Raw genomic sequence first — 15,881 nt, forward strand, 5'->3', positions numbered from 1 at the left:
AAAATGATTGGATGATAGATCGGATTAAGAAGGGAAGAAATAGCATTGACTGAGCACTTACTATTGCCATGCACTGTGCTAAAGTCTACATGCCTCCTTGTTTAATCCTCATAGGAAGCAGTGAGACCACATGGGCCAAAGCACAGACTTGAATTGATCAGAGAATCAAACTTTAAATATTTATTCTTGACATTGAAAATGAAAGGAATGGGGAAGACTATTAAAGTTTGTATAAATGTAATATCACATTTTTGTCAAAGGTTTACCATTTTTGCCTAATAACATGAATTATATATATAAAGTATCTAAATTGACCTATAGGAGTTTCTTCTGATTGTGGAACTAACCTATTTAGACTTTATTTGGTTCCTCATCTACCAATGGTTATCTTTTCTTGGGGCGGCTGTGGGTGAGGGGGTTAAGTAACAAGTGGAAAGGGACTGATAAAGCAACTACTATGTGTCAGGTCTTGCTAGAAGTGTTACATACCCAGTGATCCTACCACTAATTTTATGCAGATATTATCCTCCTATCGATGGAATGCACCTTGAAAACTAAGTTAAATTAGTTTCAGGTAGACTGGTGAAGTAACTTGCCTACCTCTCTACTAAAGGATGGAGATTGAGAATCTTGATTAGCATTCTGTCTCCAGGGTCACAGGCATTCACACAGCTAAGATTTTGTGCAGTACTAGCCCTCCATGTTGAATGCAGATAAAGCCTTTCTCCAACCTCACTTCCAACTTGCAGGAATAGAGTGAAATGTTTGTGCTGTTCTGTTGAAGGGCCTTAGGGTAGGGTAACCTCACCTGCCAGTTTGCCCAGGACATCCCAGTTATGCCCACGATTTCTGTGTAGTCACAGTGCTCCCTTTCAGTCTCAAAAGTATCCTGGATTGGATGCTATGGCCACCAGAATCTTAGAGGGGAAACCATGGCTTGTCTGGAGGGCAATAAAATAATAAACAGTTGTTTCATCTGCCTTGTGATGAGAAACTGGAGAGTGGTGCTAAAATAGTGAGGTTTTATCACTGGACTTCAGGCTCTTTATCTACAGGAAGGACTTGTCTACATTCTGGGATGTAGATACAATATCAGACATCATCAATTACACAGAAGCATCAAACTTCTTCTTCCTCATACTACATCAGAAAACATTTATTAAACTAGATGAATTCAGGTATTATGTAAACATTATGGCTACTTTTCCTGCCAATTCTACAAAGTTAGTATTATTAATACTTTTTCATTTTACAGATGAAAAAGATGAAGCCAAAAAATGTAGTCTTTGCCCAAAGTGTCATATCAAAAGTCAAATCTCATATAACATGGGGATATTTGCCTCCTAACTTTTCTTTGAGTTAAACATTTTATTTAAAAAAAGGCCGAGCACGGTGACTCATGCCTATAATCCCAGCACTTTGGGAGGCCAAGGTGGGTGGATCACCTGAGGTCAGGAGTTCAAGACCTGTCTGGGCAACATGGCAAAACCCTGTCTCTACTAAAAATTCAAAAATTAGCCAGGCGTGGTGACACATGCCTGTAGTCCCAGCTACTCAGGAGGATGAGGAAGAAGAATCGCTTGAACCTGGGAGACAGAGGTTGCAGTGAGCCAAGATCACACCACTGTACATTAGCCTGGGTGACTGGGTAAGACTCTGTCTAAAAAAAAATAATAATAAAAATAAAAATGTAATATTTTAAGGGGTAGGGGATATTTCTTAAGACATAAATAATACATGAATAATAAAAAGTATTTCTAGCTGCCATTAAATCTGAAAGCTATTTCTCAATTTGCCAGGGGTTTAGATCTCCAGAAATGATAAGTATCTGGCAGGTTGGAAGAGTGCTCTGATAAAAAATGTTCTCAACGCTTTACAAGTTATACCGCTAAAACTAGATACTACACAAAGAGGCATCATGTCTGATATACACTCAAATATGAGAATCATAAACACATCTGGTTAAGCCTCTCTAGGTAAAATGGGATTTAATAAAGGTATGTCTTGGTTTGTCCTACCTAGCTTAAATTCTGAGCCCAAAGATTACAGTGTGAAGACTATTCAGTCACTTATTATATATTAAATACTTGGCCTCCTAACAGCCATGCACAGTTAGTTACCAGGTCCTAGAGATCTGGACACGAAGCCGGCAAGAATCTCTGACTTCCTGCCTGGGAAAGGGAGAGGACAGGTAAACAAGTATAAAGTGGTTTAGGTTTTCTGATAGAAATCTACCTGGGGGATGTAAAAGATTCCTCAAAGGAGGTGGCATTTGAACTAACTTTTGAAAAACCAATTAGTATCTTCTAGACAAACAACCTAGATAAGAATATTCCAGGGATAAAAGCACTGTGAAACAACATTATATCACACAATTTATGTAAATAATCTTTGATAAATCAATTTTAAGAGATTCTCATTTTACAAACACCTTTTCATTTCTACCTACCAACCCCCAGCTCCCCCCGCTCACATACACATACATACATATATTCAGGCCCACAGTCTGGGCTTCATGTTATACCACTTCTGAAATCTGAAACTGACTGAAGTTACACAGTTGAAAATTATAATAGTCAGAGGAATCTTTACTGTACTGTATATAAATATTTGAAAAATGAAAGCTACCGCAGTAATACAAAATACTACACACAACCAAAAGGGCTCATTTACAAGGACAGTGGTCCCATTACTAAATTTCTGAAGTTTTGAACATGGGAATCTCAACATATAGATTTCACAACTGGAATAAAATAAATAAAAAGTAATTATCTGAAACCCCTTCATCACCATTTAAAGGGTTTTTATATTTTCAGTACATTTTAGAACATAAATATTCAGGAATTGTTTCTGATTATGTCTCTTCATCCTTACTTGACAAAATATTCACTTTTACCTTTGTGACTTCTCTAAATTTTGTTCTGAAACAGTGTGGGTTTAGAAAGGGAGGCATTTCCAGAATCCTTCCTGGATCAGTCTGAAATTCTAGAGGCAAAGGTTATCATACACAACCCTAACACCTGACAAAGGCACCAAAACCAGGTTACTTTGCTGCCTTACTTAAATCTATGCCCAGTAATAGGAGACACGACATAATTATTGGTTATGATTTGGTGTCAGGTGTTATTCTAAGCACTTCACACATTTTAAATCATGACACCCTCATAGCTATCCTACAAGGTAGTTACTATGACTATCTCTACTTTCTAGATGAGGAAATCAAATCCCCAAGTGGTAAACCCCTGTAAATGGCAGAGCCAGGATTCAGACCCTAGCAGTCTCACTCCAAAGTCCAAGCTCTTAATCACCACAATCATTCCTCTGCACTCTTTCTGGAATCTTAACTCTTGAGCAATTACATCTGTGTATCACATACCTCATGTTGTTCACTGAGCCCCCAATCTGTCCTAGCTGCTCAAAGGGGTCTGTAACATTGGCCATAGCCATTTCTACATTTGAAGCGTTCACAGATTGATGAAGACACAGATATACAAGCAAGACGACATAGGCGTGGATCCTCCCATTGCTGCCTAAAAGCTAAGGCTGAAGTGACTAATTTCATCAGGGCAAGTTTCACAGAGAAGGTGAGACAAGGTGTATAAACAGAAGTATACTGAGGTAGGAGTTGCAGGACAGCAAGGAGAAAAATATTTCAACCAAAAGCCAGTTTGGACAAAAAATATACAGGAGAGGAAAAGCCAAGCAAGCTGGGAAATGATGAGGCATCCTATGTCTGGGCTGTAAGGGGAGGCGGCAGGAGACAAGACTAGAGGCTGGGTCAAAGTCAGACTGTGACCAGCCTTAAATCCAAGTTAAGAGATTTGGAGTTGATCTTTAAGGTACCAGGGAACCATCAAGAGTTTTGACTAAAGAGAAGTTATGTGATTTGATTTAGGTTTTAGAAAGTCATCTCCGGCCATCTTAGAGAGGGTGGTGATTGTAGCGTCACTGGCTTGTAGACCATTAGGAAGAGTCCATGTGAGAGAAGCTTTGAGTGTGAATGCAGAGGGAAACAGAAGAATAGGACAGACTAGAGAGCAGTTTAGGAAAAATAATGAACAGGACTTGTAGGTGTGTCCAAGGAGCAACCGGGACTGATTCTATGAGGCTAAGAGAAAACAGAGACTGCCTCTCTCAAAAGCAGACTTGGTCCATTTAGTTTTAATCATAGCATAACTTACTAGAAACAAGACCATCCAATAGTACTCAACAGACAAAAATTTAGTGGGGCTTTTTGGGATCCAGAATAAACCCAAGAGAACATTCTCATAAGAATGTGTAAGTAAGGATTGCATAATTACCATTTCCTGGAGTCAGATTCAAATAAGTAGTAGTACAACATAGCTGTATAGCTTGGCGTGCTTTCAGAAAGAATGGCTCAAAAAGAATTTGTCTTTTTAATGAGTTCCTTCTACATAACTGTAACAGCTGGGGAGTGACCAAATTGGGAAGAAATCTTCAACTTAAAAGAAGAGCCTTAAGTCAGAAAATGTCTCAATTTTTCAATTGAGTTTGGCTAAATGTTTAAGGTTGAAATATACTTTCGTTAAGATGTCAGTTCAACCCCATCCCATTCTTAAATTCACCCTTCTCTGGAAATGGACAAAAACTCAGCATATGGACATTACTGAATAGTACCTCTTATATACAAAGTAGTTTTTCTGAGGCTGAGCATGGAATCCCAGCACTTTGGGAGGCTGAGGGAAGAGGATTGCTTGAGGCCAGGAGTTGAAGGTCATCCTGGGCAACATAGTAAGACCCCCGTCTCTAAAAAAAGATTTTTTTTTTAAATTAGGCAGCATGGTGGTACACACCCCGAAGTCCCAGCTACTCGGGAGGCTGAGGTAGGAGAATTGCCTGAGACCAGTCCAGATGTTTGAGGATACAGTGAGCTATGATTGCACCACTGCACTCCAGCCTGGGTGACAGACTGAGATGAGACCCCAACTCTAAAACACAAAACCAAACAAAAAAGTGTTTTTTCTTCAGCAAACACTTTAAAAAGCACCTTGACATTTGTCCAAGGTGATATATTTTACTAGTAACAACACGGGGAAAAATAAGAGGCAACCTGTGATAGACTATTTTTTTTTACCTATCTATGAACCTATACTTAGAAAACATTTAAACTAGCTAATTGTCAACAATGGGACACTTTTAAACATATACAAAAGAAGCAGATATTTAAGCTGGGATGTATTTCTACATCTGTAATCTATCAATGAACCTTAGAAATCTGTAATGCAGTCCTTCAGAACAGCTACATTTGGTGGCATTCACAAATACTGATATCCACTTCAAGAAACCCGCTTCAGCAGAGCACCCTGTGGCTATCATGCTAACAATCAGCTCTTAGGCCGAATAGTCTAAAGAGATTGAGAGTTTATACCTGCAGATGAAAAAATTACATTTCCACCTACGTTTCCAGACTGCCAAGTTACTAAGAAATACGGAAAGTGAGCCTTTTGGGCAAGAGGTTGAAAAACCCAAGAATCAACAGTGACTCTTAGAAAAGCACACATCTGGCCAGGCACTGCGGCTTACACCTGAAATCTTAGCACTTCAGGAGGCCAAGGTGTGAGGATCACCTGAGGTCAGGAGATGGAGACCAGCCTGGTCAACATGATGAAACCCCATCTCTACTAAAAACACAAAAATTAGCAGAGTATGTTGGCACACACTTGTAATTCCAGCTACTCGGGAGGCTGAGACATAAGAATTGCTTGAACCTAGGAGGTGGAGGTTGGCAGTGATCTGAGATTGTGCCATTGTACTCCAGTCTAGGCAACAGAGCAAGACTGTCTCAAAAAAAAAAAAGAAAGAAAGAAATGCACATATCTAAAACAACCTAAAAGGTGACCTTTAAGGGCAGCTCCAAGACTTTCCACTTGCTTCTCTATACCACTTAACTCTACTAACTTCTACGGCTTCATGTGACAGAGAACAAGAAATTGCAGGAATGTGATCATGGCAGCACCACCCAAGGGTTCTAGTTTTCAGAGACATTCCCACTTTCAAGTGTTGTGGCCATGCCATTATTCCACAAAACATCCTAGACATGCATTACTCTATAGCCTACTAGGCAGTAAGTTCCTTCAAGGGAGAGACGGAATCTACTTCTCTCCTCCTCTTTACCTGCTACGTTGTCTGGCTCAAAGTCTGCAGATAGTACACTCAGCAATCTCTCAATTAATATACAAAATCAGACCTAGTCTCCTAGACTGTTTCTGCTGCCAAACACAGATATGATGAAAAAAGAATCAGAACATATCATCACTTGTAACCATAAGTTGCTCTTTTTAAGACCAGATTATAGAACCATTTTAAAATGTGATCCATTTGACCCTTATATAAGTCCTTTGGATGAGAGTCAAATGAATTTACAAATTCTGTTCCATGGTATATAGTGCTATAAAAAGTTTCCAAGATCAAAGGTGACCTCACCATTTAAAGTGGATCTAGTTTGAAGAGAACCTGCGAGTACTGGAAGCATGACAACACCCACTTTGGAAAAGAATTAAAAAAAAAACAAGAAAGCTCAAAAGTTTCCAAGAGAAATGGGATACACCCAAGTTCAATTCCATTCTTTGTGAGCTTGGTGAATACAAGGCCCCAAGGACCACAAACCCAAAATCTCAATTCCAATGTGAAGACCCATGGTTTAAACAAGCCACTGTCGAAAGACTGGCAGAACCTTTGTGGAATCAAAGTCACATTTTATACACCACACTGCTTCTTATGTTTCTCTGCCTAATAATGATGCAAAAAAAATCAAAATTTATCATTTGTTTTATACTTCCTGTAAATATTATACATTTGTGTCATACAATGTTGGTATAATGTGGCTTCTTTTCATAGTAACAAAAATTTAGGAACTAGATTATATCTATAATTTTCTTATGAAATAGTATTCTTTCAATGAATCAGGGCATGAGTAAGTTTTACAATAGAAATGTTTTATCTCTGGCTTATCAAAATTTTGAAGAAAGTAACATGAAAGTTTTCATACACAGGAGCTCTCACCAAAAGAACAAGGCAATCTTCAACATACAAGTTGCAAGTCTTGTTTAAATATTATCTCTACCGTCTCTCTAATCAGAATCTTCCAGCTGATTTACATTGGTTATATTGTGAATAACTATAAGCTTAAGAAATGTTTTGCATGGAGCATACCTCAAGCATGAACAGATGAAAACTCCATATTTAAGCAATTACATGCAACTCAGAAATGCCAATTTCCATCACAATTAGCCTGAGTTATGCAACATATTTTTGTTCCTTTTTAGTATATAGTTGGTATATGTTTTTATAATTTGTTTAACTGCCTATAGTGAAATTTTGAAATCACATAGGCAATATAAAACCTTAAGAGAAAGGGCACCTTTTAATTTTTCCCAATGTGCCATGTTTCTACATTGCTTATAGAGCTTGTACAAGAAACACTGTTAGTTTCTATATAAAGATTTCCATAAAATTGTTATAGTTTCTATAAACGCATAAAGATTGTTGGTTTCATTATAACACTCTGTTTCAGTGCCAGTGGAAAGAAAAATTACCTGCAACTCTAAACAGCAATCTACATATACAGGGGTAGGTAACTGTGCCTGGACCACTCTTTAAAGGGCTCTAAGAGGCTCACTGTATTCCATCAAAGTGTGGATGAGCACACTGGAGAAGCAACTTTTAGCACACTCAACTCTAATTGCCACTCTTAGAAAAAACAGGCTATGAAAGTACAATTGTGAGGACAAATTATTAATTCTACGTGTTTTCGTATAAGAAGTAATCATATTATAACTAATACATTTCAAAACGGTATGTGTAATACCTATTATACTTGACACATTACAAGACTATTTATGGAAATCTCTCCGATAGGTTATTATCTCTTAATTTCAAACCATCCCATACTAAATATTGTAATTAATAAAGGCTCATGTTTTTTAATCTGAAAAAATCATATAATGTTTTGAGACCAAAGATGGGATTTTGATGAGAGTGGTGACCATAATTTGCTAACATGTTAATTTAACCATTCTTTTCTCCTTTAATTCAATTAGTATTCATTAAAACTGAACTAATCACAATAAGTAAAGTTTTACCAATTATTTCCATAACTATGAATGAACACAGTAAACATAATAGAATAATTATAAACCCACTTAATTAACTACAAGACTATTTTCAGCAGGGAAAGCTATTCATTTTTTTCTTACTTTTAATGTCTGATTGACATGATATATTTGAGAAACCAATTTCTAGAAATGAAAGAAATACATTATTATTGTGCTTCAGTCCTTTAACAAAATTTTCCAATTGGCTTTTATTAAGAGCCACATTACCTAAAGTTACAGTAAGAGACTGAAAAGAATCTAGTCCAAGCTATGCAAATCCAAAGTAACTGAAAACTTACACTGTAATTTAGTAATCTTAACCCTAAAAAGACATTTTAGACTACGTCATATTACAGTTAAGGGAGATAGAATTTAAGAAAATTTCATAAGTAAGCTGTTATTAAAATTTTTCAAAAATACAGGATTCTTTTCAAGTCAGGATCCTACCAATGTTGATGTTTTAGTATTTAAACTAGCTAAGCATTAAACAAAAGCAGATGAATAAATAATATGAACTCTGAAAAACCCCTGCTTTTGCCTTGTTTTTTTTTTTTTCTTTTAAAAAAAATATAGGCAACGCATGACTTTCAGGAATTAACAAAGCCTGTATTTCCAGGTTTAAAGATAGCAGGCTTACCAGATTTTAAATGAAATATTGAGTGCTACAGTGATTTAATGGTTTTAAACCATAGATGTCATTGTGGTCTGAGGGTGTCACAGACAACTTAAGGAGGAAAAAAAATGGGGCACAGAGAAATCACTTTGTCAGTAATTACAATCAGGCTGCTCATTACTTCTTCCTTCTGTATCGAGACCCTTATTTACATTTCAGATTACATTTTTTATGAAACAGTAAGATCTATCAGAGCTGAGAGGACTGAAATAATGAGGGGAAAACATTTTAATAAAACGTGTTGGGTCTGCATTACTTCCGTGACAGAAAGAAAGGCTTCTTCTGTAGTGATGGATCATTTATTCTGCTTCTAAACGAGAAGCAAAAAGATGAAACTGATGAACTTTTACTGCCCATTTGTCTTTAGCAGACAATTAAGACAGAGAAGATCAAAATGGATTATCATCCCACGCAGACAACTGGCCCAACAGTAATACATCTCCGGGACCACAGATTTGTAACTCTCTTTTATCCCTCCCCTTTCTTCTTACTTCTTTTTCCACTCTAAAGGCAGTGCTAGCTTTGTGGCTCAAGGAGAGCCAAAAGGCTGGTCATCATTATTCAGTCACAGATGTCAATCTAACCTCCCTTTTTTCTCAGTTTCTAAAGCAGTGAGCCACAATAATTTGTGACAGATTCTTTTACTGTAAGGTACAAAGAACACACAGAATAAAACATCTAGCAGCAGCAAGCGTCTCTGATCAATGTGCTGGTACATGGGAAATACACTATATGTAAAAACAAGCACTGGTAGTTTAGGCGAATGAGAAAAACTGGGGGAGGGGGAATTTGTGTGTGTGTGTGTGTGTGTCTGTGTGTCTGTGTGGTAATAAGTGCTATACTTTGTGGTGAATTATCTCAAATATTCCTTAAGGATTACATCATAAATGTTTTAATACTAGAAATGTTGTCGAGATTAAGTGCATATTCAGCATTTAAGGTTTGTATGTAATAGAAATATTTCTAAGAATTCCTTTATAATAGTTTTACTGTAGGAAAAGATAATTTAACAAATGTGAAGGAGAAAAAACTAAGATTACAACCTAAATGATAAAAAGATAAATTAAAAAACACACAGTTCTCACTTTCTTTCCCAGTAGATACAACTCTCAAACATATTTCTGGGAATTTGAAGATAATGTCTACAAAACAAAGTAGATCCTTCATTAATCATTTCTTGGGTTATAGGAGGCGAAAAAAAAAAGGAAATCGTATGTGTCAAGTTGGAAGAGATAAATAAATCTCTGCTAAGTGAGGCTGAGTTGTGTGCACTCTTATAAGTCTACCTCTGGTCCATGAGGACCATTCTCCAAATTTCAAAACGATGTCAATGATTTCAACAAAGAAAACAAATACTACTATACTATGCGCACCTTTAAAATAACTAAAGCTATCATTATTATTTAGGTTCCTACTATAATTCTAATAATTCCAACTTCAATATATGAAATACTTGTAAGACCATCCATTAACTAAAGCAAAGAGAATTACGTTCATAAGATAATATCTAATCAGTCAACTGAGCTCTGTATACAATGATGGAATTGATAATAGCCTATATTTCTCTCAGTACACACATATGCAAGAATAGTACATGTGTATGCATATACGTACACATACACTCTCCTTAAACGCACAAACTTCTATGTGTACTCAGGGAAATAAACATGGAAAGCTAAACACCAAATTGTTACAGTGGTTATCTCTGTGCAGTATAATAACTGATGATTTGTATTTTCTTTCTTTTCATTCTTTTGTAAATTTATTTTTGCTTTATCTATAGTTTCTACATGTTTTGTCATGAACATATTACCCATGCAGTTTTTTAAAGTTATACTAAAAAAGAAATCATGTTGTTCAAAAACTTTCAGATATAGTAAGAAACTATGTTGAACGGAATAGACCCAGATGGTAACTATGCTATTTTAAGTTTCTCCTATAAAATTCCCTCTCACTGAGAATTCAGATCATGGAACTACAAAGGTTATTTACCTAGACACAAGACTTTAGAACAATAATTTTGTTAAAATCTGTGGACTCAAGTGTATTCTAAATAATACGTTAAGATTTTCCAGCCTTTATATATTGTCTAAAGAAAGGAAATTCATTAATGAAAAGGTCCTATAATCCTTGGATTGCGTAGTTTGAATCTAAAGAGCCCAATCTCATAGAAATTTAAGATAAAATAAAAATTTAACTCTCCTAGTAGAAGATGAAGCAAGAGACAGAGTCAGAAGATTTTAATATTTTTTAAAATCTTATTTAAAAGTCTTGAGATCAAACACAAAGCAAACCATACCAGTTCTCTTGGGTTCTTGTACTATAAGATCTCATTACAAAGCATCTCATTATACTGATTATCCAGTTCTATTCCTGGTCACATTATGTCCCCTTTATTCATAAAGATGTATCAGATACCTTGCTCTCTATACAACAAGACACACTGCAAAGGTGTTACTATCACTGTACTGGGTATTTCTATTCTATTGTACTTATCCTCATTCAAAGACTTTTAATAAAAAAATTAAATAGATGTGCTTAAGGAAGATGCTTTTACTGTATATGGTATTTCACATGTGAAAGGTTTTATAAAGTTGTCTTATTCAGTGTAATCAAGAATGCTTTTATTTCAAAGCTGCTTTAAAAAGTATACCAAATTGCATATTTGAACTAAAAATGTAAGGTGCCCCAAAAAAGCTACAAAACATCTTCAATATCTCTCAAGATAGAAACTAGAATCCTGAATGTATAACCTAGAACTAATTATAAAAAATACAGCAACATCAGAACTTCAGCACTATCTTGTGAGTAAAATCGTTCCTTCTACCCCATTCTATGCTTGCAGAATGCTGTCAATTCAAGATGGTAGAGCCAACTGGCCAACCTTAACTCACTATCCTCATCAGCACCACCCTCACCCTTAAGTCCATTTCTGCACGTGCATCTTCTCCTTCCAATACTACCATAACACATAATTTCATCATCTATTTCAAATTCCAGGAAATGTTATAAACTTCCCTCTTCCCTCTTTTTTGTTACACTGCTTCTTGACTCCTGAAATAGCATTTTTTTAAAAAGTTCACAGGCAATGCAAAAAGGATTTCCTAATGAAGTGTAGACTGTAGCAAACCTCAAAGTGAAGAGTAAAATTTGTGATAGGTTTTCTTCCTTATTTTGTGTTCATTTTCTCCCTGAAGGAAACACCCCAAATCTAGCACCAATATTTTCAGTCCTACTTCAATACGTTTTACTTTTTGTCTTTGGTTCCTAATTACTGCTTTTCTTCCCTTCTAAAAATTCATTTATCTCTTTCAGTAAAAAGAACAGTAATAATATGTTGAACAACTCTGAAATAAATTTTGTCATGTAAAAAATTAATTACGCATTCCGAACCTGGTCACTGTAGTCCTCCGGGAATTGCCTCTGCACCTCAGGATCTGTAAATAATTGACAGATAATATTAATTGGCTTTGGATTAGTGAGCAAGCAGAGGATCACACATTAATATTTGATCAGAAGATGATAGCAGCCCTGGCAGGGGATCCAAGGGGGGCAGCTGAGGCTGCTATGTTGATGAGCACAAGGAAGGACTCGGCAAGGCACTCCCATTACCCTCCTCCAGAAATATAAAAAAGAAAAATTTTAAAGACCTGATGCTACTGTTAACTTTAGACTATTACCTAATGCAAAAATCTTGCCAGCTGCAAATTGCCCTCAATATATTTTTCCAGAGAAAATGAGTCTTAAATCTGCTTGACTTTTCTTCTCTAATCAGAAGCCTCCTTTGCATAGTTACAGATGTGGGCTTGATAAACCACCTTAAGCACTGGTTTCAGACTGGGGAGAAAGGGGGAGTGAGAGAATTCTTTCAAGGAATAAATGCAAAACTCATCGCTTTAATAAATGAAATATATCCTTCTCAAAATGCTTGTACACTCTTATGAAAATGCAGATAAAACTGGATGGAAGTTTTCTTCAAAAGAGGACCAACGCTTTTGGCTTGTCAGTGTAAACAAAATATGAAAAAATTATGTTCCAGCTGACATAATTAAACTTGCTCAGAAACTATACAAATACATGGCAGAAAATACCTTTCATGATCACCTATTTAAAATGGAGTTACTAAAGGGATCACTTTATTCTTAAATCATAAGCAAGATGATCCAATGCCATCTTCTGTAAGTCAATACAGAAGTGAACAAATTAAAAGCTATTAGCATTCCATTTACTATCGATTAGGAAAACATTCAATCATTTCTAATAAGGAAAAGATTTGATTCCTTTGAGACATGTTAAGGGAAGTGATCAGAGGTCAGAATAATATCTATTTGAGAAATCATGTATCAATTCAAAGGCTTATGGAAAATCATAGATTTGAGGGTCTCCCGTCTAACAGTGGTCACAATATATGCTACCCATGGCTACCTTTAAACACCATACTAAAACACTAATTTACATCCTTGTGAAAATGAATCCACGTAAAAGTTCACTGCAGTCCATTTCTTCAGTGAATAATCAAGAAGGGAAAAAACTAAGGGCCTATTCACAAACTACTAGGATCCTAGAAATACCAGTTTTCAAGTCATTAAAACCAATGTGTATTATTTTTTAAAACACAAGACTAATAATAAAAGCAGGAATATTCAAAAGGTTATGCCAAAAGTAGAGCCTCTCGAAATGAGTGGTGCAAAAAAGTTGAAACTATCTGCAAGTGATTTCAACTCTTGACGTGTATTTTGCTTGACTTAAAAGCTGGGAATCAATTTCTTTCTTCACCCTCGTCTTCAACTACTGGGAAGGAATCAATGATGTGCCTAGACCGACTAGAGAACTCTGGAGTAATGCCCCTGCAGTACCAACTCAGGGCTTCCCTGATAGGCAGCAGTTTCTTCACTTGACCTGTCTTTGGCCTGAAGGACTGAAACTGCCCAAGGACTCAGCCCTCGTGAGAGAGGAGGCCAGCGGGCACCAAGAGTGTGGCAGGAAAAGGACTAGGCTGGCGGAGAAGAATTCGCCAGCAGGAGACAAAGGGGCAGCCTGTTGCCCAAGAATCCTCTACCAGTGTACAGTGAGGGGAAAGGGGGTGAACAACGGGGAACAAGGGGCCTAAAAAAGAGCAGTGGCTATAATCCCTAAAACATACATACAGAACTTAAAATTTGGTCCAGAGACCCAAAAAATGTAGCTCTAAGCCACTGAGGGACATAATAAAACAGAGGCTGGGAAAGCCACTAAATCATCTAAGGCTTATTCTTTTTCTTCCAATTGACATGTGGTTTAACACTTATTCTTCAGCTACCAAACTTCATACAAAAATTACTTTCATGCCAATCGTTACTATCATGCCCTCTTTCTTGCAGTAATTTGTGCTTCTTGGGAACTACAAAATACCCATGAAAACAAAACCAAAGACTACTTTTCTATCACCATTTTGTGAAAGACTATATGTCCGAAACCAAAATTTGTAGTATATTCTTCAATTTTTAAAAATACCATTCTTATTCCTAGGTGGCAGATGCTTCTTAAATCTTTTCAGTCAACTATATTAATAAGAAACCATAATAAACTCATTTAAAAAATATTTTTGATTAATATATACAACATAGCATTGAAAAAAGCATGGGAAAATTAATGAAAAGAAAAAAAATCAACCTATCTTAACACATTGAAGATAAAGATGACCATGGAATGCCAAGAAGGAGGCCATTCAAACTGTATCATTCCCAATACTGCCTCAATGGAAAGCAATATAAACGCCATCAATTAGATTCCTTCAATTGTCCTAAGACTCTCTACAATGAAATTACCAGGTTTTAACACAATAACGTTCCAAGAGAATACATGCATTATTAGTTACTATGATTCAAGTATACAACTCTTGGTTTCTTTTCATTAAGGCCACTAACATTTACAAAAAACAAACTTCATAGGTCTTTAACATTCACCAAAGCAATATAATACATTTTTAAAAAGAAAGAAAAGCAATGCTTTTTAAAACCAAGTCAACCTATCAAGTTCCATTCAATTAGCTCAAAGATTCAGTCCGATAGTTCATAAAACTACGAAAGCCATTTTGGAAAGATTAACACAAAAACTGCAAATAATTTATTTGAATTTTCTTAAAATGTCTAACACAGGAGGCTGAAATCTTTTTTCACATTGAGTCAATCGCAATGCCATAATGTCACCAAAATATCGACATTGGAAACATCTGAGTTAAAAAGGTCCAAATACAATCTGCTTTTCTCAAGCAACACAACACCCGCCTTACTAACAGTTTCAGCATGGCACATGTACAAAACCTAGCACCCTGCAGTTAAGCAAACCGCCTTTAAATTTTCTGTCTGGCAGCAATCCACTTGCGTGTCTGTATGTTTTTACAAGTACTCTATGTATTTCATTGCGTCAGCTGCATTTCTTTGAGTTTTAAATGGTCTGGGAACATTTTATGAAATGTTCTATATCTTTATATGGAAAATAACATACACTGGAAAACTGTGCATCGGTCTAATATTTATATATCTATTTCTTTATCCACCACTCAATGCTATAATTGCTAACGTTCCAAAACACCTTCTCACATTCATAAGTTCATCATCAAATGCAGTGTTATCAAACAGCTAACTTTCAACACAAAAATCTGCAGGGAAGAGTACTACCATGGAAGAAAGTAACATAATTTGCTTAGGCGATTGGCAGTAAGAATAATCAGCGTATGTCAAGCTTTTACCCAAGAATTGTCCTGCTGACAGAAAATTAAGAATCTAGTGGTACATAGCACACCCTTCTTTCCTTATCCTTTTCTCTCAACAACTTTCTCCTACTTCAGACAATAGATAACTCACAAACTTAAAAATCAATGTCATCAACTCCCAGGAAAATACTTTTCAACAGGAAAAAAATATTGTATTTAAAATATCTTGCTAATAATATGTACGCCCTAATAGAGTCCATGCATCTCTTAACCAAAGAGGCAGGTAGCTCTCAGACAAGGTTTCGTATCATGTCATTGTGATGTCACAGCACCATGGCCATCAAAGAGGCTGTCCCCACAGAAAAGTGTGTATCACTTTCACTGAAGGCCACAAGAAGCA

The 15,881-nt window shown here is 36.2% G+C and overlaps 1 protein-coding gene across 41 annotated transcripts in view; it reads right to left on the reverse strand.

Moving 5' to 3' along the window:
• DENND1A (DENN domain containing 1A) overlaps window positions 1-15,881 on the reverse strand; it is a 550,469-nt gene that overhangs the window by 400,749 nt on the left and 133,839 nt on the right. For 35 of the 41 annotated variants that reach the window (XR_007061334.1, XR_007061335.1, NR_148208.2 and 32 more), the window contains one exon: window positions 12,181-12,224. The exons of the other annotated variants lie outside the window; for them this stretch is intronic. Coding sequence is in view for 32 of the 35 variants with exons in the window: in XM_047423625.1 (XP_047279581.1) it covers window positions 12,181-12,224 (44 nt within the window). In the remaining 3 variants the exon portion in view is untranslated. The remainder of the gene's footprint in view (window positions 1-12,180; window positions 12,225-15,881) is intronic. 41 annotated transcript variants of the gene reach the window in all.

This window comes from Homo sapiens, chromosome 9, assembly GCF_000001405.40.
Source record: "Homo sapiens chromosome 9, GRCh38.p14 Primary Assembly".
In the NCBI taxonomy this organism is placed as follows: Eukaryota; Metazoa; Chordata; class Mammalia; order Primates; family Hominidae; genus Homo; species Homo sapiens.